The sequence below is a fragment of the Homo sapiens genome, chromosome 16 (genome assembly GCF_000001405.40).
Source record: "Homo sapiens chromosome 16, GRCh38.p14 Primary Assembly".
Taxonomy (NCBI): domain Eukaryota; kingdom Metazoa; phylum Chordata; class Mammalia; order Primates; family Hominidae; genus Homo; species Homo sapiens.
The window spans coordinates 55,651,874-55,678,860 of NC_000016.10; the positions used below are offsets into that span (position 1 = coordinate 55,651,874).

Sequence of the window (26,987 nt, forward strand, 5' to 3'; positions counted from 1 at the left end):
AGAAAGAAGGAAGGAAGGGAGGGAGGGAGGGAGGAAGAGGAAGGAAAGAAGTGAGGGAGGGAAAGAAGCAAAGGAAGGAAGGTAGGAAAGGAGAGAGAAAGAAAGGGAGGAAAGGAGAAAGAAAAAAAGGAAGAAAGAAAAGAGAAAGAGAAAGAAAAGAAAGAAGGAAGGAAGGAAGGAAAGAAAAGAGGGATGGAGGAAACAAATATGTAGGCAAACCTCTCCTCCTTTTTTTCCTTAGTCTCCTCATTGGTGCCATGGAGGTGTAGGTTCTGATAGCGTCCTCAGCGGACACAGGCCCTTGGATTCTAAATGTGTCCCAGCCCAGCTGTTGTGTGTCAGGGCCCCAGTGTCTGTGGGGAGATGGCCAGAGATGGACTCACAGCATCAGCCATTGCCTTTTACCCCATGGCCTGTGTCACCAAGTGCCATGGTAAGTGGAAGTGATGGCTCCCCAGAGATCACATTAGCTCTGATAATGCTCCAGCCTCCCATGCACAACTTGCCCTCAGGCCACCTGGCTGGGCAGGAAGAAGGGCTCCCAGAGAAGCCACATGGCCCCATGGCGGTGAGTCTGGGCGAGAGATGGAGAGAGACGCCTTCCCTTTTAGCCCAGTCCCAGCCTAGTGTCCTCACTGCTGACCCCCGGTAGTCTCTGAAACCACAGATGGAGCTCCCAGACTTGCTGATTGGCCCCCGTGATGGCGTGCGCATTAGGAGGAAATGCCTCCCTCCACCCTTGTAGCAAACACTTCCAGCTCCATGCCCACACCCCTTATCATCCACTGTTCCTGCCAGTGCAGACCCAACCCAATGGCTTCCTGCTGCCAGTACCTGGGGCTCTGCTGTTAGCCTTTCTCTGGCAGCAGGACAGGCTCATCCCTCTTATCAGACAGGCTGGACTTGCTGGGAAGTTGACACTCTGGGGGCGGCCTTCATGGATAAATACTCTAGTTTTCTTGCCCCTCAAGTGAGACAACCCCAAGGCGTGCTCTGTGCAGTCTCCCGAGGCCCCCACCAGGGCTGAGCACCTGTTTCCCCAGCAGCAAGTGCTCCTTAATCTACTTTCTCCTGGTTTCCTTCCCTTTGCTGTCTCACTTCTCCTCTCCCCAACGATTGCTTCCAGGATTATCTCCTAAATAAATTACTTGTATTCTAATCTTTGTTTCCAGTTGTTTCTTGAGGAATCCAATACAAAACGAAACCAATCAAAGACACCAAACCCAACAAAAGAAAGAGAACTCTTCTGGTTCTGTATTGTACATGTTTCTGGAGCACCATTTAAGTAACAGAATACATCACGCACTGTCTTTGACGCTGGTAGGGAGGTCTCACAAATAACTGTACAGGCAAATAAACAGCAGTATAAAAGAGGAGTTTGACTCTGTTGTAGGAGGTGGTTATCAGGGAAGGCTTCACAGTGAGGGTGACTGGAGGTTTTGGAGGATGGGTAGGAGTTCTCCAGGTAGAAAAAAGAATGATGGAAACAGCATATTAAAAAACCCAGAAGTGTAAAAAAGCACAAGGTACTCAGGGAACCACTAGTAGTTTAGTATCTCTCATACTACTGGAGAATAAAGCATATTTTGGAAGTGATAAAGGATTTGTAGGAAAAATGAGGAGAGAATTAGAATAGCAGGAGGTGTGGTTAAATAGCCAGAGTCTTGTCTATACTCCTCAAAGTGTTTAGGCATTATCTTGGAAAGGTTGGAGGATTTTTTAAAATTGTGGGTTATCTTTTTCTGATTGCATAAATATCAAATGCTCATTGTGGAAAAGTTGGCATATACAGAGAAGTATAGAGAAGAAAATAAAATTACCTCAAATCCAGAGTTAATTAAATCACATTTATGTGTTGGTGTGTTTCAGAGGAGTTTCAGGCAGAGGAGTGAGGTGGTCGCACTTGAGTTCTAGGTAGAGCTCTGGCAGCTGGTGACGATCATGCAGCTGGAAAGATACTGAACGTGGGGTGACCAGCTAGGAGGCTGCTGCAGTGAGGGGTGATGAGGGTCCTCTGTTGTGGCTTTGCAGGGTGTTTCAGAGGTGGGATTCTCAGCACTTGAAAACTAGTTGGATGGGGTGTGGGGTAGAGGAGAGAAGGGGACCATGACTACTAGAGAGATTCTGAGTGTCTCCACCATGACTTGGTGGAGGGAGCAGAGGCTGGAGGCCAGGAGACTTGGGTTCTCATTTCCACTCTGTGACTTCCAATCTGTGGGACCTTGGACAAGTCCCTTTAGTCCACAGAGCCACAGTTTCCTGACCTGATACGTGGAAAGATGATTCTCTTCCTGCTTTCCTTACAGGATTGTCATGATCGTCCAATAGATCAAAGGAGATAAACACCTTTCATGTGTGGAAACCTACAGTTCTGAGCTCTTGTCCTCAAACCTCTGCTCAATCTTTTCCCTCACCTGCCTTCTGTCATCTTCCCCAGAAGCCAGGGGAACCCATACCCCTCTAGGTTTCCCTTCCTCTCCCCTCTGCATCCTGCCCAGAGGACATTTGTCACGATTGTCCCTCTGGTACAGATGCTCTAAACACCGCCACACACCACCATTCTTTCATTCATTAACTCATTCACTTCATAGGCTGGTTGATGCTCTAGTACGTTCCAGGTGCCAGAACACGTGCTGTAAAAGACAGACAAGGTCCCTGTGCTCATGGAGCTCACATACCACCCAAGGGGGGACATAAAGTTAAACAACTAGGACAAATTCGGATAGCGATGTAACAAATGAATAAATAGGGTGATAGGATAGAGTGAGCGTGTATTTTCGATTTGAGTCGTCGGGAAGGGACCTCTGGACTGAGACCTGAACAACTCAGGCAGAGAAAACAGCAAGTGTAAAGGTCTTGGGGTGGGTTTGAGCTTAGGATGTTTACAGAATGGAAAGGTCAGTGTGGCTGGGCTGATCCAAGCCCCACCCAACCCACTTAGCACGGCCACCTCTCTGAAGCCTCCTTGGATCAACAGGATGCTTCCCTTGCTGATTCAGCTCCACCCTACTTCCACACATCTGTGGTCACAACACATCCTGACCACACTGGGTTGTGATAGACTCTATACACTGGTCTGGGAGCTCCTTGAAGGCAGGGGCTATCTCCTCTCTAGCCAGCACTGTTCACGCACACAGCAGATGATCAGCATCTGCTAAAGGGATTAATACATTAATCAATAGATGAGTGAATGAATGAGAAAACGACTCTCAGGTCCAAATGGCTCACTCCTTTACTTGTCTAATTGTTACCTTCTCAAATTCCCTGACCCCGTATGCAAACTGCAGCCCCACTGTCCCCCCATTCCCTCACCCATCATATAACGTGTGTATTTATTATGTTTCCCGTTTCCTCTGTCTCCGCCAGCAGAATGTAAACTCCATGAGGTCAGGAATCTCCGAGTTATGTTGCGCCAGTGTAATCCAAGAGCCCGGAACAGTGCCTGGCACACAGCGGGCATATGGAAGAACAAATGTGTGAAGGTGTGAATGAATGAATAATTGAAAGAATAAATAGTAGTTCTCAGCCTCACAGAACACGGGTCACAACCTCAAATGACCTGCTACCCTGCCCATAAATAACAGAGATGCAGGAGTAAGTGCTGGGCTGTGACCTGTCAACATGCTAAGCCGCTCAAACAAAACTGCCCAACAGCCCGCTGGCCGCCTATTTGCAGCACTGGGCCCTGAGCCGCACATTCCCATTTCGTTGATAAAGAAACTGACCAGATAGTTTAAGTGGCCTGCTGCGGAAGACAGAGCTGGTGCTGCACCGGTCGCTGCTTCCCCAGTCCTTTTTTGGCCTCCTTTCTGACGCGACGCAGACCCCAGTTCTGGAGAGTCTGTCACTCGCTCCCCGTGGTGGGAGATCAGAGGCCTGGTGTCCTTGGGAGCGGCGAGCGGTGCTCGGCGCAGGATAGAAAGGGAGTGCGCGCCCGAGTCCCCCAGATCCCTGGGAACCCGCGCCACCCTCCCGCCCCTGCCCATCCCCGGCCGCGCTGTCAGTCTCCATTAGCGCTAACAGGCTCCAGACGGAGCGGGCCGGGCGCTGGGTTAATGCAATCGGCGCGTTACCTGGGGCGCAGGCTACATTACCAGCCCGGCCCCCGCCAGGCACGGCCAGAACCAGTCAGCCCGCGCCCTGCCGGCCGCCCCGCGCCTCCAGCTCTTCCCCGGCCCCGCCCGAACGCCACACGGCGGAGCCCAGCCCCAGCCCGCGCCCTAGAGCCTGCCAAGGCGCCGCCGGTCGGGGGCCGGCAGGGCGCAAGGCACCAGGGATCCCCTCGCCGCCGGACACGTGAGTGCGCCCTGAGCGCGGGACAGGGCTAGGTCTGCCTGGGAGGCCCGGGCCGAGACGCGCCAGCAGAGGGCTAGCGAGTTTGTAGTGCAGTGACGTTAAGTGTCCGAGAAGGCTCCTGTGGCTGTTGAAGTGTCGCGGACCTGAGCTGGGGAGGGGGTCGGCACGCTGCCCTCAGCCTCGGTGAGTTCAATCCCAGCCATTTGGGGCAGGCGAGAGTGGGTGAACGAGGAAAAGTGCTGCAGGGTCTTCAGCCGCCCCCAGAGGGCTGTCAGAAGTCTCCAACTCTTGAGTTCCGGCGTGCCCCAACCTCTGTTTCCAAATTTTTCCAGCGGACGCGCGCCCTTTTCTGGGAACCCTGCGTCCGCTCAGCGCGCGCTCATCCCAGTGTCTAAGGCGCTCCCGGGTGGTCTTGGGAGTTGCAAGTAGGGAGGAACGGCCGGGTAACCACCTCTTTTCCCTTTATCCAAGCAGAGCCTCGGCGTGCCCCCAGGACCGGTAAAGTTCCTCTCGCCAGCCGCATCCATGCTTCTGGCGCGGATGAACCCGCAGGTGCAGCCCGAGAACAACGGGGCGGACACGGGTCCAGAGCAGCCCCTTCGGGCGCGCAAAACTGCGGAGCTGCTGGTGGTGAAGGAGCGCAACGGCGTCCAGTGCCTGCTGGCGCCCCGCGACGGCGACGCGCAGCCCCGGGAGACCTGGGGCAAGAAGATCGACTTCCTGCTGTCCGTAGTCGGCTTCGCAGTGGACCTGGCCAACGTGTGGCGCTTCCCCTACCTCTGCTACAAGAACGGCGGCGGTGAGCGTGGGGTCGGGCTGGGAATTTGAATCTGGGAGGTCCACTGTCTGCAGCGGTGGCTGGGACAGGAGCTGGAATACACACGGAAGGGAGGCGAGGAGACAGGGGCAAATCTGGGGCGCAGAAAGAACTGGACAGGGCTAACGGGAAAAAAAAAGATTGGAGTCCTCTGGAAGGTCATTTTCCCAGGCTCTTTGCAGAGTACCTCGAGCTCATTCCAGCGGAAGTGTCAGGATTGGGCACCCTGGAAGCAAAACAGCAGAAGAGTGAAATCGAGTCATGACCCTAAAGTCATGGTAGGGGTATGGATGGAAAGGACAGAATCTGGGGTGCCAGGTTGGGTGGGGGAGCCTGACCTTTTGATGGTCTGCTGGAAGGGAGGTGGAGATTCCAAGAGCTCTTGAAGGGGCACCAGAAGTGGGTGGGATTTGACAACCAGGCCCACAGTGACCCTAAATCTAGCACTCTGAGCCTGGGGGCAGGAACCTTTGGGCCAGAAGCAGTGGGAATACTTCGGTTTTCTGAAGGCACCTGGGGAGGCCCTGTGGTCTTGGGGATAGAAACACACAAGAAGAAGCCAGTATCAGAAATAATGCCATTCTCAGGGAGCACAGCCCAGGTGGAATCAGGCCAGTAGGTGCCAAGAACTGGCCTGGTCCTCAAGGCAGGAGGCCCAGATGATTGGGGTGAAACCTCTACCTCCTCAAGTTCTAGCCGCATTGCAGGGAGGAGTGGGAGAGGGGCCTGAAGAAGACTCCAGTGGAACAGCCACACTCTCTCCCCCTTCTGCTGGATGGTCCAACTGGCCACCTGCCTGAAAATGAGAGCCTAGAGATCACCTACAGCCAATCCAGGAAGAATAACATAGAACCCCGGGCCAGGGAAGCGGTCTGGAAGTCAGGGTGCTGGCCCCCACCCCCTAGCTCCTTCCTGAGGGGCTTTGCTCCTGCCACTTTTGCTGGGATGAGCTCAGAGGTACCCTGCAAAGAGTGTGGGAAAATAGACCTTTTGAGGAAGAAATTGGAGAAGGGGGACCCAGCTCTGAAAGCCTCTCTCTCTCCACTGGGCTGCATTGCTTGGCGGTAGCTGTGACTCTGGACTTAAGGGAGGTCAGAGGGAGGAAGGGCAAGAATTTGGAGCTGGGTAGAGGGAAAGCTCATGACCTGTTCACAGGCTCTAGGACTTACAACTCTGCTTCTATGTGTACTCTGGACACTTGCTTTGGGACGGGCAATACTTGGTGTTTGCAAAAAAGGAGTGGGGCCGGGCATGGTGGCTCATGCCTATAATCCTAGCACTTTGGAAGGACAAAGTGGGCAGATTGCCTGAGCTCAGGAGTTCGAGACCAGCCTGGGCAACATGGTGAGACCTCGTCTCTACTAAAAATACAAAAACTTAGCTGGGCGTAGTGGTGCACGCCTGTAATCCCAGCTACGCAGGAGGCTGAGGCAGGAGAATCACTTGAACCCGGGATGTGGAGGTTGCAGTGAGCCAAGATCACGCCACTGCACTCCAGCCTGGACCATGGGTGACAGAGCAAGACTCTGTCTCAAAAAAAAAAGGAGTGGGATCACCATAGAGCACAGGTGGCTCTGAGCAGAGGATCTTGAGTAAGAAAGCAGTTAGCTCTTCCAACGAGAAAGTTAACCCAAGGTTGGAGCTGACAGATGGAGGTTTGCGTCCATGGTCTCCCTGACACCTCCTGAGATGGGTCTGTCATTGTCAGATACTCTGAGACCAGATAGCTGGAACAGCAGTCCTGAGCTTCAGGGGCATCTGAGGTCTGGGGCCTGATCCGTGGGGAAACAACTTGTGACTCTGCGGGCTCAATGTTTGTGTCTGGCCCTGGGATGGTCATGGGCAGAGAGAGAAAGGTGAGAAAAGGAGAAGCTAATCCAGAGGTGAAACTTTCCCACCTTTGGCGGCTGCAGCCTCTCAAGCGTTACTGGGCAGGTTTAAGCATGGCTGTTTGGGCCCAGGAAGGGAGAAAATGCAGATTCTCTGTATCTTTTAAGAGGCAGGGAGATGATGAATGAGAGACCTTAAGACCCGCCATCCCGCCTGTCCTCAGTGACCGCCCCAGACTGCTTGTCTCTAGACAGTGGAAGGCTCTGTCATTAATCAGTAATATTTTTCTGGTTCCTCTTGGCGTGAGGCACAATGCTAGGCTCTGCAGGGGTCACGGTCACCAAGAGGCATGAACCACCACTTCTGCCTGCCAGGAGCTTTAATCACCCGAGTCTTTATTGTCATGCTGCTAGAAGTTCTTCCCATTGCTCTATGTGTTTGTTGAAACTAAAAGCATCCAGATGGCCAATTTGACAAGTCAGCTAGATGGATATTCCAGGGCTTTCATTGACACTGTGTGCTCTTTAGTCATTGCCAGCAAAATAAAGAGCACCTGTTGTATGCAGTGTACTATAAACCAGGTTCTTAGGATGCAAAATGGAGCAAACTTGTCACGAGTTCCAGTCTTTAGGTGAAGCTGACCGAGGGCACTTTCTCCCGGGCTTGCTATCTCAAAACACAGCTCACTCCAAGTTGTTTGGTGGTTTGTCTCTTTGTGGGTCTGTCTCCCAAACAGGAAAAGGCACAATGAGGGCAGAGACTGTGACTTTTTAATCTCTGTGTTTCTAATGCCCAAGATAAGTCCTAGATCACAGGAATGTGGTAGAAGGTGCCCAAGAAACTGCTGTTGAATAAGCTAATGAAATGCTCCAAGCCCTCAAAGACCTCCAACCGTATTCAGAAACAACAACAGAAACACTCAGTGGTAACTAATAAAGTGAAGCCACATACAACAGTGGGGCAGGGGCAGCCTATTCATTAGTGGTCTTAGCTGTGGAGTCCTGGGTTCCAGTTTCTAGCTGTAAGGCTTTGGCAAGTCTCCAAGCCTCAGTTTCCTCACTTGTCAAATGGAAATAATGGTGCTCAGCTCAGAACATTGTTGTGGGGACCAAACATAATAACTCATGGAGAGCCTGGCATGGATTGTGGCCTTAGGAAAGGTGGCTGCTGATTTTTGTTAATGTCATTATGATGATGTATGAAATGGATGGAGAGACAAGTGCTTTAGACAAATGCTCTAAAGGCCTGAGGAAGGGCTGCTTAGGAAGGGCTGGGAGGAGGTGGGCTGTGGTTGAAGCTCAGCTGCTCTGGATGGGGAAGGTGCAGACAAGCGGTGAGAAGGGAGGAGATCTCCAGCTGTGCACCTGGGGCAGGAATGTACATGGAATCATCTCAGAGAACAGGAGTGCAGGCTGGCTGCAGGGCAAGCCAGGAGAGATAAGGGTGCAGGGGCAAGTTGGGGCCAGGCTGCAGAGGCCTTGAAAGCCAGGCTAAGGGGTGGGGATATTATACCAGTGAATTTCCATTTCTGGTTAGGATGTTCACAGTTGGTGTTAGGGAGCAGTGCAGCCCTCCATCTCAGACTATGAGGTAACTCCTTCTCTCACTTACCCCTCATCCCTTCAGACATGCTCAGCTAGCTCCCTCTGGGCTTTATCTCTGCGGAGGCCTCCTGGCTTCTCTGTCTTTTTGTGGATCAATTCTCATCCAGTAATTCCCAAATTAGCCCCAGAGATGAGAGTGAGTGGTCAGGAAGGTGGGTCTTTGCAGTTGCAGAAGCAGCCGTTTAAGACTGGAGTTTGAGTCTGAGCTCTGCCTCTCAGTGTGTGATCTCGGGCATAGTACAGCCCCTCTCTGAGCCTCAAGTTCCCAGCCATAGGTGAACATGACCTGAGATAACACCACAAGATTTATTCCTTTCCAATGCCCTGGCTCAGGGTTACACTGAAGCCAGGACTCACCCGGTCTGTTATTTAACAGCCCTCAGTGTGCTCTTCTGGTGCCAGTATTAACACTGTAACCTCTGCAATTCTGACTGTTCATGCTGGCCCAGAATGGAGGATATTTTGAAATGATGAAGGTGGCAATGGTTTAGGCCCCTGGCTAATGTTTTCTGAATGAATTACTGGAAAAGATCAGCCTGTCTGAACATCTTCCCCATGGCCAGCTGCTGGGATGCACGGGCTGCAGGAGGCTCTGGGAGGGGAAAGCCACTCTCAGAAATTCCGGAGCTTTGTTCAGAACCTTCTCAAATAGCTGGTCTCCATGAGGAGGCAGTATCAGGCAGTGATTCTAGAGTTTCCCTTTGCACCTGTGATCCTGGTCTGTGCTGATCCCTGGGGAAGAGCAGGAAGATTGACTGGGTGCTCATTTTTGCCTTTCTTCCAGGGAAGTGGCCACTGTGAATTAACCTTTGCACATGGCTGCTTCTGTTTGAGTCCTGTCCTGAGGCCAGCTTAGAGCTGTGCATTGTAGAGAAATATAGTCTTTAGGTTCAGGGTCTGAGTCTAACTTTTGCTAGAAAGGTAACGATAGACAAATCACTCACCTTTGCTGATCTGAGCTTCAGTTTCCTTACACAGAAGAGGAGAATAACCACAGCACCTTCTTGCAGGGTGAGATGGCATCAGAGACAATATATGTAAACTCCTTGAAATGATGTCACATAATAGGGGCTCCATAAATGTAGTCATTAGTATTTTGTTATTGTTCAATGATATTAACTGCATGCTAGACTTAGGAGTGGGGCAGGATCCTGATTTTGGAAGTAGCAGAATTCATCCTAAGATGAAATTGATAAAAGGAAATAAGGCTGGAAAATAGTCCCACTTGGGTCTGGAGCCCAAGCATGATAGACTCAGGAATCAGGGGATGGGCTTTGCTCCATTTCCTAACAGCCTAACCTTATCTCAAAATAGATTCATCACCTGGTAAATGGGGTTTATAATTCCTGCATGGGGTCCCATGACCTTCTGTGATTCTGCGTCCCCAGTGGACTCTCTCCTCTCCCCAAGGAAGCTCAGAGTCTTAGGGACCCCCAGCCCTTTGGGAGCCCTTGTGGCCAAAATATCTGGGATCCTTAATACTGAGTATGAAGCAGTAGCTGCTACAGAGGTCAGGAGTCTGCAAACTCAGTGCTCTTATATCTGGCCTGGCTGCAGGGGGCTATCTACACCCTGGGCTTGCCAAGCCAGACACTGATTGTCAGCTCAGATGCACAATGAGCCAGCCAGCTGGTGTGGCACTCAGCTGACAAGTCTGTACATCCCTTGGCAGAAATGTGGTGCTCATCTGGGACCCTGATCTGAGGTCACTGGCATGGTTTGGCTTGTTACTCCAAGCTTGTCAAAAGGATCTGAAAGGGGCTGTTCCTGACAAGATTGGGATTTAATAGGGATAAATGTTATATCCTGCCCTGCAGTCCCAAACCTAACTGCCTAAGTAAGGATTAGGCCACAGCACAAGTGGAGAAAGGCCCCAGGGCTTTCATTAGCTGCATCCTTCATGTGAGTCACTGCTGAGATCCATTATTTAGCCAAAAAAAATTTACTAAATGCCTATCATATGCCAGGAATATGGAGATGAGCAAAAGAAAATCCTTGCCTTTAAGGGGCTCATGATATGCTGCAGATCTCCTAAAAGTTTGTCATTTTTGATTCCAATATTGGAGGTATTAATCCCAAATGGGGGAGGTGAGGTCCTGCTCTGTTATTTGTGGGTCATATTTCCCTCTGTGATGTAGTTCTGAGCAACCCTCTGATGTGTTTCTCTTAAAGAGACTAAGATGGAGGAAATGGAAACCAGAATCTTCACAGAGATTTTACTAAAGCCACAGCTTTATTAGGAAAAATCAAGTCCAGATCCTCCAAAGTGACGAGCAGATGGAGAATTACCACATGAGGAGGGGTAGCCCGGCGCCAGTTTCCCTGAATTCCACCCCCATTTTTCTACTTAGAGCAGCTGGGTTTAATCCATCAGGGGAGTGGGTGTGTTCCCTCAGTGGGCCTGTTTCCAGGTCTTTCACTCAACAACAACAATCAACACAGAAGACGTCTGTGACCACATGTTTGGGGGTTTCTCCCAGCACATCAGGCAAGTAATCAAGTCTGCAGCAGACACCAGCTGAGTGCCTCCGATTCAATTCAATTCTGGTGCTGTCTACCTGGAGATAGCATCAGATCCCACAGGTTGAGGCATTCCCACAAGAATGCCCCTCACTTTGTGTTCCTATAATGAGCCCCAGGTTGTTTTACTGTGCTTCTGACCCACTGTCTATAAATCAGGGTTCCCCCCACCCCTTGCTTGGGTTTGATTAATTTGCTAGAGTGGCTCACAGAACTCAGAGGAACACTTTATTACATTTTCTGCTATGGTTTAGATATGGTTTGTTTGTCTCCACTAAAACTCCTGTTGAAGTTTGAACCCCAGTGTGGGAGTGTTGGGAGGAGGGGCCTAGTGAGAGGTGTTTGGGTCATGAGAGTGGATCCCTTATAAATGGATTAATGTCCTTTGGAGAGGGTAAGTGAGTTCTCACGCCACTCTCTTGGTTCCCCTCTTGCCATGTGATCTCTGTACCCCTGATCCCCTTTCCTTTTCTGCCATGAGTGGAAGCAGCCAGAGGCCCCCACCAGATACAGCTGCCCAACCTTGAACTTTCCAGTCACCAGAATCATGAGACATATAAACCTCTTTTCTTTATAGATTCCCTAGCCTCAGGTATTCTGTTATAGCAATGCTAAACAGACCAAGGCACTCCCTCACCTTCACCTTGGGTCCCTCCAGCTGAGGTCTTACCATAGCTCTGTGTACTACTATGAAACCTATCTGTCTATCTATCTATCCATCTGTCTATCTATTGTTCTATTGTTCCTGGCTCAAAATACCAATAGCCCTTGTTGTAACATTGGGGCACGTTAGGCCTCAGAAAACAGAACCTCTCTCTCTTTGACCTTCTCCTGCCCTCCTTCCATCTGCTCCCTTATCTCTCCAAGGTAGGATTTTTCCCTGGCTTTTCTTTCTTGGAGCTGGCAGTAACAAAATTCTCTGACCCACTTTCTAATTGTGAGTCATAAAACCCCCATTTCAGAAGGAGTCCTGCCCCAGGCCCTGGGGGAAGGAATGCTGCACAGGGAGACCGAGAAGAATCTGAACAGACAGGCCTTGCTGGGCTTTCCCACTCAGCTTATTAGTATTACATCATACTCCATTCAATCATGGTGGCCAAACATGCCTATCCAATGACATCTCCATAGAAGGCCCAAGAGGACAGGGTTCAGGAGCTTCAGGAGAGGCAAACACGTGGAGGTTCCTGAGTAGGAAATGTCTGAGGGGCCATCTCAGCTTCAGAACTCTTCTAGGGTCAGCTAAGGTTTGGCCTGGCGTATCCTGTCCCCCGCTCTGGCCGGTGCTTCCATTCCCTAAATCTCTTCACTGCATGCATCCCCCTCCCACTACCTTCATGCCATCCTTCATGCAGCACTACAGGGCATTCTTTCTAGGTAATGGGGCTGGCTGTGGCCTGGGGGCATCCTTTGTCCTGCATTTGCTCATGGTCAGCACTCTTGTTTGCACACAAGAGTAGAGTAGCCAGCCCCACTTGGGACAGGGACTTGGGGATCCCAGAGCACTGCCGCAGAGTCCTGTGTGTGGCCTCCAGCTGGCGTTCATGCTGTGCTCCACAAAGGGCCCAGCCACCCTCCACCACACAAGACAGCCTTTACTTCCTGTTTCCAGTGGACAGAGCTGCTGCACATCTGCTCTTGAGTATAATGACAAGACATGGGTCCCATTTACGGAGCACCCACTAAGTGCCTGGCACTTCACCTCTGTCATCTCTGATTATCACAGCAAACCAGTGACACAGGTATTATTATCGCATTTACAAAGGGGGAGCTAAGGCTCAGAGAAGGCACATTTAGACAAGTCACATAGCTACACATAGCAGGGCTGAGGGACAGGATTATCTTTAGGTCCAGGCATGAAGGCCTGCCCTACCTCCATGCTTCAGAGAGCACAACTCTGCCCCCTTTCCATCTCATGGGAGCCAAGTGTGCCTGCCCACCCAGCACACTCCCCATACGAATACCCCACCACCCTCCAATACCCGGACGGTGGAATTCCCTGCCCAAACAGCCTCAGGCACCCTTCTGGGTCTACATGAACATCTTGCTGGGTTCCCTCTTTTGTGGTGTGGGCTGTGCTGCGGGAGGTGGGGGTGTCTGCAAGGCGGGTGGACATAGCTTGGACACCTATGTGCAAGAGCCCTGACATGGCTAGATTGAGCTGGGAGGAAGTAGGGGCAGGGCAAACGGGTCTTCCCCTGTACCTCCACATTCCAGCCTGGAGCTCCAAGAGCTGAGAATTCCAACCTTGAACTTTATAATAGAACTACTACAAAGGTCTCTTTGTCAAAGTAGGAAGACAGAACATGTTTTATTTAACAGTTGTTGATTTGTCACCTTTAAATGTGTCGAAGTGTGAGCAGCCTTGTCTCCTGACTAAAGTTTCACCTTCTCCTGATGCCTACTGTGCTGTTAGGGCACCCTTGGGGTGTTGGGGAAGGGGGACAAATCTAGCTTCCCTAAGTGTGGACCAAGGTTTTCTTGGGGGCTCTGGTGCATGACACCAGCAGCGACAGCCTGTAGCTGAGCTGTGTGTATCAAGGGAACTATTCTGTGGATTGGCACTTCTTGCATATATCAAGGTGTGGCCAGAATTCACAGTTCGAGGAATCCTGTCCTCAACAAACTAGGTGTCAGGGGAGCCTCTCTCCTTCCTGAAGCTCCTCTTTGACCACACTACCTCCACCTCCCCCGAGATCCTCAGCAGGTCTTGGCCACTGCACCCCTCACTGAACCCTTCCTCCAGGCTTTCCAGCCCTCTACCTGGGGTCCTCCTCACCTGCTGGGGGCTGCTCCAGCACATCCCACTCTAAACCTAATGACCCCGGGCTTCCCTTCCTGGGTACTTGGCATTTGCACAGAGGCTTCCAGAGCCCTTCTGTACCCAGAAGAGTTTCTCTCTAACAGTGGGATGGGAGGCAGTGTGGTTGGGCCAGAGGTGATGGGACTAATGCTTTTCTTACTAAATTCATCCAAAGGCCACTGTTCAGAGTTTCTTTCATGGTCGACAGTTCTTTTTCTCATGTGGTTGTGTGAGTGCGTTGACATGCAAAAGTGTGTGTCCATTTTGCATGAGTATGCACAGGTGTGCATTTGTGTGCATGCATATGGTTTTTGGAGACTCCCAGGCACTGGGCACTGAGCTCCTCATGAGGCATGCCCTGCCTGTGTTTTTCCAGGTCTGCCCTCACCAGCCCAGCACCCATGCAGCCAGGGCATTCCAAGATAAGATTCTGGCCTTGCAGTTCTGAGACTCTCGGACCCTGTGTGAGGCTGGTTGCAGCTGGCACTGCCACACATGGAGATGGAGCAGGACCACACAAGTATGGCAGTTACAAGCCTTGCAGAGCAGTACTTTTTAGGGGGTTTGCAACCAGCCTCGGTTTCCAGAGAACCACTGCAGAGCTGTTTATAAAAGAGGCAACTTCAGTTGACTTCACTCATCCCTGGAGCTCCTTCCTGACTCTTCAACCTGAAGAGTTTACTTCTGCAAGAGGAGAAGGAAACTCTCCCAGGTTTCCTTCTGCAAGAGTCCTTGGGCAAGCTAGCTGTCCTCTTTTAGAATAAGGCACTGGCCGCGGGTAGCTGGCTGTTTTTTCATTCCTACTTAGCCATTTCACCACTCTTTGGTCTTCTTAATCTGTTTCCACCTGAATGAAGCTTTGGCTGGCCCACATCAAATGCACTCACAGAGAAGAGCCGCAGGCACATGCAGACCCATCATCTTCCCTCCTTTTCTCATGTTACTGTGCCTCCCAGCCAGCAGAGGAAGAATAACTCCAAACTGGGCAGTTTACCTATGTGTTGGCAGTGTCACCCAGAGGTTTAGAGTTGAGGAAACTGGCCAAAGTGAGATGCCTGGTTAACTGGCTGATGCTGCTTTTCCCCTTCCTTGGCCATGCAGCAGAGTATTGAGTCGCTGGGGGCAACCCACAGTGGCGAGGTCGGAGCAGCGACTCCTAGCTTTTTCCTTCCCCACGTTCCCTTGGGCCACTGACTTCCATCTTCAGGCCTATCAAAGATTTTTTGTTTATTTGTTTGTTTTGTTTTCTTCTCTCTTTTTCTCTCTCTCTAAATTTTTTTTTTTTGAGTCAGCATCTCACTCTGTCACCCAGGCTGCAGGGCAGTGGCATGATCATAGCTCACTGAGCCTCAAACTCTGATGCCCAGGCTGTTCTTGAGTTCCTGGGCTCAAGTAAGCCTCCTGCCTTGGCCTCCCTAAATGCTGGGACTACAGGCATGAGCCACTGTGCCTGGCCCTATTAAACAGTTTAATACAGCTATCTAACTGCCCCTTGCCCTGGCTCTAGATCCTCAAGGGGAGTAGCAGTTGGCCACAAGGCAGAGTGGGGCTGCGCCAGATCCAGGTTTGAAGCCAAGCTTCATACTTGCTAGTTGGACAAGCAACTTAACCTTTCTAAGCCTCAGTTTCCTCATCTGTAAAAGGGATTGTGGTAATTCTCTCTCAGGGGTGGTTTTAAATAAATAATTATGTAAAAACTTGTGTGCAGCTTGGCATATAACAGGTGCTCAACAAACGGTACTTGTTACTTTCAGCAACCCCACTGCCTACCTCCATCTACATCAGCACACCAGCACCACCATTACTGTCAGCAATGTGCATAGGGACATGGGTCAGGTGGCAAACCAGCCCTTTCTATGTGGGAGAGGGAGAAAGGAAGAGAATGAAAGGAAGAAATGAGGAAGGGGAGAAATAGCACATGGCCACTCCAGAGACTTCCAGCCTGGAGCAGTGGCTGTAGCATTGGGCCAGCCTATGACCAATAGACCACATGGCTTAGCTGGTCCCAGATCCCCCATTTCAGAACAACCTACCCTCTGATCCTATTCAGACTCATGTCCTTCATCTAGGCTGGAATGTTCCAGAATCTGTGGGGCATGTTGGAAACAGCTCTGGAGCTCTTGAGCCAGGCAGACCTGGACCCAAATCCTAGATCCACAACTTATCAGCAGGATAAGGTCGGTCAGGTCATTTAATTTCTCCAACCCTCAGTTTCCTCATCTGAAAAATGGGTATAGCAGTTGCTATGTCAGAGGGTTTCTGGGTAGTGTAAGTGGGATCAAGCCCAGGTCCTGCTTGATACACAGGAGATGTTCATTTCCCAGTAGTTTTACCTTTTCCCCCTTTCTGCCCTGCCCCCCACCACTGATCCATCTTCTACTCACAAGGGACTAGGTCTCTCAGCATTAGGGCCAACACTTCATGCTTCCTACTTAGGAGAGGCACCCTGAGAAACAAGTGGAGACTGATAGTCTGAGTAGCTGAGTGAGTTTGACCCTAGGTATCATGTGACTTTGCCACAGTTCTTTGCTATCTTGAAACCTTAGTTTCCATATCTGTAAAATGGAAATAATAATGATCTTTGATCTTTGTGGTGAGGATTGAATGAAAGTGCTTGGAGCTCAGAAGGGGACGAGCAAGTGTGAGCTGCTGGTATCCATTGTTAATATTGCTAATGTTACCATTGTTAAAGTATTTCCTGTTTTCTTGATGTGGGTAGGTCAGAGAGTATTTGGTTTCCAGGGTTACAACACCTTAGCTAAAGGCCAGTGGTAACAGGAGTTTGGATCTGGCCTGGCCACCTCCAGCTGTGCGTGGAAAGGAGCTGGTGTGTTGCTTTGGGCACACTTGCAAGCTGGGGCTCATATGACATGTGTCCCAGTGAGTCACCTCGCAGAGTCAGAATCCACTAAGCACATCCCGGACTGCCAGGGTGTACTGAGAATTGTCTCTGCAACTCAGACACGTCTAAGTCCACCAGGAATTCTCCCAGGAATTAATTGCTGCCTGGTGCCCAGGGACCCCATGAAGTTTCTGTGATGTTCTGGGTGGGTAACTTCCCTGGTCAGAGACTTGAACCTCTGCCCCTTTGCTTCAGCCACCTGTAACAGTGGGGACCTAGTGGGTCACAAGGCCGGAATGTGAATCCGGCTTCCATCACCTACCAGCAGCACCAAAAGGAGCCATTAGACTCCCTTCTCTGCCCCTCAGTTTGCCCTGGGGGTACGTAATGACCCTGACTGGTTATTATGTTTGCAGGCTGTTGTGAAACTCTAAGAAGAATCCAGTGAGATCATGCTTGGGAAAGCAAGCCACATATACCCCTATGTGATAGGATGCCAGCAAAATTAGAAACTCCGTCATGTAAATTTAGGCACTGTCTCTTTTTCTCTGGTTTCAATTTTCTTGCCTGTAAAAGGAAGGGTTTGGGTTAGATTGGCATTCCCAGAGTGATGATTCATAAAAGAAAAAGTTCAGTGTTTAAATAAATCTGGTAAAGGCTACACCTGTGATCCCCCTCCTGGCACATCACAGCATGCACTTGTGTATCAAAGGCTAGGAGAAGCCTGCAAGAAGCAAACCTATTTTGCTTTGCTTAACCTAGATTTTACTAATTTGACCACAGAACCTCACTATTATGGTTATGATTATTACTACCACAAATATTCTTACTCTTATGATAATTAGTATTGATTGCTGCGCGTCGCCTTTGGAAACAGCCAGCTGAGCAGACGCCCAGGATCTTTGCAGCTCTTGCAGACACGGATCCAAGACTGGGAGGGGCAGGGGTCTGTCAGGTCACACTCTGCCCCTGTGTCCTCCAGGTGCCTTCTTGATCCCGTACACACTGTTCCTTATCATCGCGGGGATGCCCCTGTTCTACATGGAGCTGGCTCTGGGACAGTACAACCGGGAGGGGGCTGCCACCGTTTGGAAAATCTGCCCATTCTTCAAAGGTAAAGAAGGGGTGGGAGAAAGTCACGGTTGTTCATAAAGGCTTCCCTGTTGCCCTTGGGGAATCTGCTCCAGTGGTGAGATCTAAGGTAGACCTCCTGTCATGTGGGATTCACAGGTATTGACAAGGTCAACAGTGTCCCCCATTCCAAGTTACGTGGAGAGCATTCAGTGTGTTGGGAATAGCATTAGCATAGAAATTCTGGAAACCTGGGTTCTAATCCAGCTTACCTGCTGAGTACCCAGAGAATCTATTTCCTGTATGGGAAATTTTTACGTAAGTATCAGAAGTACCCAGCACATACACCACTACTCTCTCCTTTTGCTCCCATGGCAGGCGTTAGAAGTTGATCATGGATCTTTTTGAGCCCAGCCGGAAAGCTGATTCAAAATCCTTAGTACAATAGCCACAACTAGTTGATTGCAGCTGAAATATAACATGAAGCCTACTTGCATTTGGGACTAAGAACACATCTGCAGAAAGTAGGCAGAGCAACTGCTATTTCTTGGCCCCTATACAGCTGGGAGAAGGGCATGGAGGAAGAGTTAGTCTCTCCCAAGCACTGGTTGGAGAACTGGGCACAGATGGCAACGAGGGCCAGTGTGACTCCCATGAGCCTCTTCTCCGCTGGCACGTGCCTCCTGAGTACCTCTTGTGTACTCAGTCCTGTGGGAGATACAGCTGGTGCAAGAGTCTTATAAGACATGTGCATTCGTTACTTTTTTTGTTGTTAATTGTCAGAAATTCAACTCAAACTGGCTTCAGTATAAAAGAGAATTGACTTCTGTTACAGTAAAGTCCGGGGATTGGCTTCAGGTATAGATAGATCCAGATGCCCAAATAATGTTGTCTGGAATCTATCGCTCTTCTTGTGTTTCAGATCTGTTGTTTTCTGTTAGCATCAGTCTCAGGTAAATTCTTCTCAAGTACCTGCAAAGATGGCCATCAGCAACCCCGGGCTTAAATTTTACCAAGTTTAAATTTTACCAAAAGCAAACAAGTAAACAAACAAAAACCCTTATAGAGTCATAGTTTCCTTAAAGGTCCCAGAGAAGATTCTCATTGGTTTAACTTGAGTCATATGCCCATCTACTAACCAATCACTGTGGCTGTCAGGAAGCAGTGCTCTGATTGGCCAGGCATACATCTTGCGATGGAGGAAGAGTGGGGAGTAGCCTCGCCAACACCTCACAGGCTAATCATAGCTTAAGGCTAATTCCTTGAAAAGCAATGTTGGGCAGGTAAACAATACATCTACCCTAGAAAAAAGCTATAGAACTACCCCTAAAGGAGCTTGTGATACATTGAGGAACACGATACTGGCACCCGAAGCAGGTGGCTGAGAGTAGGACCCAGAAAGCACACAGGGCTGAAGTTCCAATCAGGGAGTGCTTGCTTGGGTTTCCCCAGAAGCAGTTCGGAGACAAGGATATAAGTGTAAAGAGTTAGTGCGGGAAGTGATCCTTAGGGAGCAGCAACTGGGGATAGGGAAGGGGAGGCAGCCATAAAGGGTGTGCACCAAGTCAATGCCACTCTGGGCAGGGAGCTCAGTCCCATCAGGGGAGAATGTGAACACCTGTCAGTGTTATCCTGCCCAGGGGGCGAGGGAGCTGGATACTCACGATCCAGCTCCTAACGTGGCTGCCCACTGGGGGCAAGCAGGTGGTGAGTGGGCAGGGGAGCTCCAGTGGAAAGAGAGAGCTCTCGGGCAAAGAGATGGCAGGGGCCTATGGACTCTGGCAATCTGCTATAGCACGTTTCCTCAATCCCCGGGCCACGGACCAATAACCGGCCTGTTAGGAACCGGGCCACACAGCAGGAGGTGAGCAGCGGGTAAGTGAAGCTTCATCTGTATTTACAGCTGCTCCCCATCGCTCGCATGACCGCCTGAGCTCCGCCTCCTGTCAGATCAGCCGCTGCACTAGATTCTCATAGGAGCGCAACCCCTACTGTGAACTGCGCATGCGAGGGATCTAGGTTGTGTGCTCCTTATGAGAATCTAACTAACGCCTGATGACCTGAGGTGGAACGGTTTCATCTTGAAACTACCCCCACCCCAAAATCTGTGGAAAAATTGTCTTCCATGCGACAGGTCACTGGTGCTGAAAAGGTTGGGGACCGCTGTTCTGCAGGAAACGAGAGACAGAGGGAATGGGAGTGCAGTGGTGGAGCCACACCCAAGGAGAGGTGGCTGTGGGGCTGGGCCTGGGAGACTCCTACCTTACCCCCTGTCCCTGCCCAGGCGTTGGCTATGCTGTCATCCTGATCGCCCTGTACGTTGGCTTCTACTACAACGTCATCATCGCCTGGTCACTCTACTACCTCTTCTCCTCCTTCACCCTCAACCTGCCCTGGACCGACTGTGGCCACACCTGGAACAGCCCCAACTGTACCGACCCCAAGCTCCTCAATGGCTCCGTGCTTGGCAACCACACCAAGTACTCCAAGTACAAGTTCACGCCGGCAGCCGAGTTTTATGAGTAAGTCACAGACCCCTTGTGCTGGGCCTGTTGAGGCCAGTGCTTGGTATGACCTGAGCCAAACACTAAGGAAAGTCACAGACCAAGGAGACGCATGCCGTCAGGATATTAATGTTTACTGAGCAGCCACTGGCCTGATGCTGGGTGAGAGGCTGAGGACACGCCACGGTCGAGGTAGTTGGAGAAGCTTGCGTTCTGGGGCAGGGAAGTGGAGGCGGGCAAGATAATACACAAATAAACAGGTAAGGGAGTGAGAATGTTTTAGAGTGTGTGCACTTCAGGGAATGCAACACTTTCTGGGGTATGTAACTGCTCTTAAAGAACTGAAACCAGGTATGTGGGAAAAATCAATCATGGAGGGAAAAGAACGGTTGCGTGGGTAGTCAGGAAAGGCCTCTCTGAGGAGGTGACATAGGAACTGATGATGTCAGAGAAGGGAAGAGCTGGGGCTCCAGGGCAGGCGATGAGCTGCAGGTTGAACCCGAGTTGATTTGACCCTGAAGCTGTAGTCTGACTCACCCTGGGCTGCTGTCCTTCTGGAGTTCCCATGGGGGAACATAATCAGAGCTTGGAGAAAATTCAAGAAGCGGGAAGCAGGCCAGCTGTATGCAGCTCTGAGAAATTATTTGGACCATGTGTGCACGAGAAGCACTGGCCATTGGTGCAAGACAGAATATCATTTTAAAAAAGAAACTTTTATGTTGAAATACCGTTATACATTAAAAGTAGTAAAAATAGTGCATATACCCATCACCCAGTTTCCCCTAATGTTGACAACTTACATAACCATGGTCTGAGTTTGAAACCGGAAAATTAACATTGATACACTGTTAGCTAACAAGCTGCAGACCTTACTTGAATTTCACCAATTTTCCCACTCATGTTCTTTTCAGGTATTTAGTTGCCATGTTTCTTTAATCTTCTCCAATCTTTGCTCTTCCTTGATTTTCATGACCTTGACACTTGAAAAGTACGGTCAGTTACTTTGTGAAATATTGATTTGAGTTTGTTTGTTGTTTTCTCATAATTAAACTGTGGTTATGCATTTTGGCGTGATTACCCTAGGAATGATGCTGTGCCCTCCTCAGTGCATTCCATCAGGGGGTGGGGAGACATGCTGTCAATATCTTGTTACTTGTGATGTTAACCTTGCACACTTGGTTAAGGTGGAGACTGCCAGCCTCCTCCTGTGTAGAGAGAGTTATTTTCCTTTTTTAAGTAATGTGTCTTTTAAGGACATACACTGAATTTATGCAAATGTCTTGATTCTCATCATACTTTTGTCCACATTTCTTAGCATTTGTTGATGATTCTTGCAAGTAAGGACTATTACCATGATGTTTATCTAGTTATAATTTCCTATTTCCATCATTTCTTCTATTTTATTTTATTTTTTTGTTTTTTGAGACAGAGTCTCGGTCTGTTGCCCACGCTGGAGTGCAGTGGCACCATCTCAGCTCACTGCAACTTCCACTTCCCACATTTAAGTGATTCTCCTGCCTCAGCCTCCTGAGTAGCCGGGATTACAAGTGTGCACCACCATGCCTGGCTAATTTTTGTATTTTTAATAGAGATGGGGTTTCACCATGTTGGCCAGGCTGGTCTCAAACTCCTGGCCTCAGGTGATCCACCCATTTTGGCCTCCCAAAGTGCTGGGATTACAGGCGTGAGCCACCACCCCAGCTTATCATTCCTTCTAGATTAATTGGAATTCTTCTTTAAGGAAGAATTGTCCCTTCTCCCCTGTTTATTTATTTTTTCAGTTATTCATTTATATCAGTATGGGCTCCTGGATATTTATTTTATTCCGTAGTCTTAATTCATAACTATTATTGTTGTTGTTATTATTATTATTTATTTCAACTTTCATTTTAGATTTGGGGGTACACAAGTAGGTTGTTACATGGGTACATTGCATGATGCTGAGGTTTGGGGTGTGATTGAACCTGCCACCCAGGTAATGAGCATAGTACCCAATAGGTACTTTTTCGACTCTTGTCCCCCTCCCTCCCTCACTCCTCACTCTTGTTGTCCCCATTGTCTACTGTTCCTTTCTTTATGTCCATGTGTACTCAATATTTAGCTTCCACTTATAAGTAAGAACGTGCAGTATTTGGTTTTCTGTTCCTGGATTAATTTACTTAGGATAATGGCCTCCAGCTACATCCATGTCCCTGCAAAGGACATGATTTTGTCCTTTTTGTGGCTGCATATTATTCCATGGTATATATGTACCACATTTTCTTTTTCTTTTTCTTTTTTTTTTTGAGACCGAGTCTCTCTCTGTCACTCAGGCTGGAGTGCAGTGGTGTGATCTCGGCTCACTGCAACCTCTGTGTCCCAGGTTCAAGTGATTCTCCTGCCTCAGCCTCCTGAGTAGCTGGGATTACAGGCACCCACCACAACGCCTGGCTAATTTTTGAATTTTTAGTAGAGACAGGGTTTCACCATGTTGGCTAGGCTGGTCTCAAACTCCTGACCTCAGGTGATCCACCTGCCTTGGCCTCCCAAAGTGCTGGGATTACAGGCATGAGCCATTGCACCCGGCCACCACATTTTCTTTATCCAATCCATCATTGATGGGCACCTAGGTTGATGACATGTCTTTGCTATTTTGAGTAGGGCTGCAATGAACATCCACGCGCAGGTGTCTTTTTGGTAGAATGATTCATCTTCCTTTGGGTAGATGCCCAGTAGTGGGATTGCTGGGTCGAATGGTGGTTCTATTTTTAGTTCTTAGAGAAATCTCCAAACTGCTTTCCACATTGGCTTAACTAATTTACATTCCCACCAACAGTGTATAAGCATTCCCTTTTCTCGGCAGCCTTGCCAGCATCTGTTATTTTTTTGATTTTTTAAATAATAGCCATTCTGTTGGGTGTGAGCTTATAACCATCATTATTTAATTTGTGGCTTCCCTGAATCCTCTCAGCCTCTACTTCATCCATTTATGTCCTTGAGGAGGGCGATGACTGACTTGTTTTCAGCCACCTGATTTAAAATGTTTGCATAGCACTCTGTTCACAATGTAGCATCCATTGTCTTCATCCCTCAGGCGTGGGTCAATTCCATTTTATCAATCCCTACACAAACATGCTAGCAGGTAAGCAGAAAGTACCTGATACAACTTGTGGGGCAGACAGGATAGATTCCACCAGAACTCCACCCTCAGGGCATTCATGGTCTAGAGCAGAGGTCCCCAAACTTTTCTGCTTAAGATCATAGAGTAAATATTGCAGAATTTGCAGGCCACATATGTTCCTGTTGCATGTTCTTTGTTTTATTTTACCTCTGGAAAGTAAAACCATTCTTAGCTCACAGGTCGTACCTAAACAGTCCATAGCTCAGATTTGGCCTGGGGGCCGTGGTGTGCTGATTCCTGGCCTAGTGCAAGATTTCCCAATAAAACTTCCCGCCATGATAGAAATGGTCTATATCTGTGCAATCCACCAGAGTACCCACTTGCCACAGGTGGTTACCGAGCAGTTGAAATGTGGCTAGTGTGACTGATGAGATATATTTCTAATTTAATTTTAATTTATTTACCTTTAAATAGACATGTGTGGCCAGTTGCTACTGTATTGGGCAGTGCAAAAAAGTGTGGAAAAAAAAAACATATTCACAAACAACAAAACTTTAGGGCTCCTCTCCTTCAGTCCTATGGATTCCCCAAGCCCAGAACCTGGGAATGAGTCCAGATTATCTGGAGATTGGGGTTATCCTGGGACCAACTCTTTCCCTGCCATCTTGGTGCAGCAGGGCCAGGGGGATTTAGTTTGGTTGAAAGAGACCTCTGGAAAGTCTACTGCCTCCTGGGGCTCAGGGGAGTCAGTGTTCTCAGGATCCAGGAAATACCCTCAATGGTTCACTGCAGAGAATTTGCTAAGGGTCCTGTACCTGCATCCACCTGTCTCCATCCATGATTCCCATGGACTTCTAACAGGCATATGTAAAAATTATGTGTTTTAGAATTTTTCTTGGAGAGGGTCTGCAGTTGTCGTCAAATTCTCAAATACCTCTGCAGCCCTCCCAGAGGATCTGAATCACTGCTGTCACTGAACATCAGCATCTGCTGTAAGAAACCTGTCTTCCTCACCATCACATTAATAGCTAACCTCTTACCATGTGTATGAGGTTTTCTGCTAACTTCCTCCTATGTATTATTTTGATTTAAGCCTCACCCACCTAATGAGGTTTTTGTAACTCTTATCCTCATCACACTCTTGGGGAGGCTTCATTTCACAGTTGAGACAATACAGTCCACAACCACACAACTATTACTGCACAGAGCCAAGATTTGGACCCAGCCAGTGTGCATTTGCAAAACCCTGAGAGTGCGCATCTCCCATTTTGCACCGTAGGAGCTTACTTCTCCTCACTCTAACCCCAGCCCTGTCTGGCAGGGAAACTTCACAGCATGCACCCTTAACCTCTGTGTTATGTTGGCCTCTACCCATTATACATGTTTGTTATTATGCAGAAATATTGTCATGGTCACACATCACATTTACCCAGCTTGGATTGTATTCCAGCCATAGTTCAAAGCACCCTTTCTATACTACATTTTAATCCTGACCACTGTGGTATAAGATTATTTTTATGAATGGGAAAACAGGCACAAATCAGTAAGTGACTTGTCTGAGGTCATAGAGTTTATAAGTGGCATTAAAAGTCTATTTGGATCCAGGCAGTCTATCTCCAAAGCCCAAGCTCTTAGCCCAGGGTTCAAAACCTTGACTGCACATCAGAATCACCTGGAGAGCATGGATGCCTGGATTCTACATCCAGAGATTCTGATTTCATTGGTCCGGGTACAACCAGGGCATAGAAATTTCCATCAGTAGCTCCCCCTGCAATTCTAACATCCAGCCAACGTTGGAAGCCCTTGTTTACACACTGCGCTCTTCTGTCTTGGAGTAGGACTCCTACTGGAATCAGGCTGACATCTCTATAGACTCATGTCATGGAAAATCTAGGGCCTCCTTCACTCTTCTGAGGAGGAGTATGGCCTCAGAAAATTCCCGAACCATCAGAGAGCTTGCAGGTGGGGGTTTTAGGCCTTTCTGTCTTATGAACATGGTTTGGAGGGGAAGGTGGTAAAGATAGTGGAGCAGAGTGCTGCCGACACATGTGATTGGTTGCACCCTCTCCCCCTCATCCTCCCATAAAGGAAAAAGCATGATTTTTCTTTTTGCTCTCGGCAACCCTTGTTTTACAAATTAAAATGGGAAATGATAGCTTTGCCTCTAGTCCAGTTAGCATTTGATTCCTCCGCTGATGTCTTCATGGCTAGTATGTCGGCCCCAGCAGAGGCCCCAGCAGAGACACCCAGCCAGAGGGAGAGGTGAGATAGGTTTTGAGACCCTACTTACTTTAATTACAGCCCTAAGCTTCCTCCAGGCTCAGCTATAAGGAGAGTGGTGGGAAAAGATGGCATCTTCAGGCTGAAATGGTTGGGGGATGCAGGTAGAACTGAATGCAGAGTTGTTTTTTGTTTGTTTGTTTGTTTTAAAAAAGACGGGGTCTTGCTCTGTCACCCAGTGGCACAGTCTCGGCTCAATGCAGCCTTGACCTCCCAGGCTCAAGTAATCCTCCCACCTCAGCATCCCAAGTAGCTGGGACTATAAGCATGTACCACCACGCCTGGCTAGCTTTTTATATTTTTTGTAGAGATGGGGTTTCATCATGTTTCACAGGCTGGTCTTGAACTCCTGGGCTCAGGTGATCCACCCACCTCCATCTCCCAAAGTGATGGGATTACAGGTGTGAGCCACCTCACCCGGCCTACAGGGCTTATTTTAGGAGCCTTCTGCCCTACAGATCTTCCCTCTTTTTTTCCTCTCCTTAACCTTCCCTCCACTATCCATGCAAACCTTCATTGCTACCATCAGCCAAGCACTGAGGATCTCCTCACATCCAAATCCCATTTAATCTTCACAGTTCATGGAGGTAGAAATTATTCCCATTTTACAGATAAGAGAGTGTAGGCTCCGGTTTTAGGTAAGTGGCAGAGCTGGGAGTGCAGGGGCCTCTGCAAGTAGATAGGAGTTCTTCTCACGCCGCCCTTGCCCTTTCTGGCCTGGAGCCTGCCTCTGTGCTTTGTAATGCACAGCACTGTCATCAGCTGCCTCTGGACTTTTTTTTTTAATGGCGTGATGCCCTTTTGTCTAAATGTTTCTGCTTGAAAAACATCCCCTCAACTCAGTTTGGGGACCCAGTGAGTGGGACTCCTAGTGCCAACCCTGAGGAAATAGAAAATTTTTTCTCTTTCTGCCAACCTGCTGGCCAATTTTGTTACCATCCTGTACTCATTTAGGCTGATGGACTGAGCATATCATTCAAGGGAACAAAACTGCTATTCTCCCCAGGCTCCAGGCCTGAAGCCAAGCAGCCCCACAGCTAAAAGAAACTCTGCAGCTCTGTAACTTTATGTGTAAAAGGCCACCTTTGGTGAACATGTGCCTGGCAATAGAAAACTTCCACCCCATGCCGGTCCCTGGTGAGGAAGAAAAGTCTCCCTCCAGCCTAGTATTAATCATCTGTGCTAAATATCAAGTGAGAAATTGAGCTTTTTTAGTGTGTAGACTTCGGAAAGCCTGGACAGTACACTTAACGATGATTCATTTTCATTAAACTTCTGGAAAACTAAAACTGACGTAAGTTTCTTGTACTAAACCCCAAGGTT

General features: G+C 49.1%; 1 protein-coding gene and 1 long non-coding RNA gene across 13 annotated transcripts in view, besides 1 other annotated feature; one reads left to right on the plus strand and one right to left on the minus strand.

The window, feature by feature from the left end:
- Positions 1,233–4,240, minus strand: LOC124903693 (uncharacterized). The gene is made up of 2 exons (XR_007065075.1): positions 3,726–4,240; positions 1,233–2,066 (listed from the first exon to the last, which is right to left on the minus strand). It is a non-coding gene; the product is annotated as an uncharacterized LOC124903693 (long non-coding RNA).
- Positions 4,115–26,987, plus strand: part of SLC6A2 (solute carrier family 6 member 2) — a 50,205-nt gene continuing 27,332 nt past the window's right edge. For 5 of the 12 annotated variants that reach the window (XM_006721263.2, XM_047434511.1, XM_047434510.1 and 2 more), the window contains exons 1-4: positions 4,381–4,479; positions 4,771–5,095; positions 17,692–17,823; positions 20,065–20,302. In XM_006721263.2, the coding sequence (XP_006721326.1) occupies positions 4,822–5,095; positions 17,692–17,823; positions 20,065–20,302 (644 nt within the window). In that variant the 5' untranslated portion in view covers positions 4,381–4,479; positions 4,771–4,821. Of the gene's footprint in view, positions 4,297–4,380; positions 4,480–4,566; positions 5,096–17,691; positions 17,824–17,844; positions 19,064–19,786; positions 20,303–26,987 lie in introns of those variants that run through there. The other 7 variants (NM_001172501.3, XM_011523295.3, NM_001043.3 and 4 more) reach the window with 6 other exon arrangements.
- Positions 4,367–4,902: an enhancer, noted in NCBI's record as "H3K4me1 hESC enhancer chr16:55690152-55690687 (GRCh37/hg19 assembly coordinates)". NCBI's record gives its function as "activates a minimal SCP1, AML or CMV promoter by ChIP-STARR-seq in naive H9 embryonic stem cells {active_cell/tissue: H9 hESC(naive)}" and the evidence as "EXISTENCE:reporter gene assay evidence [ECO:0000049][PMID:30033119]".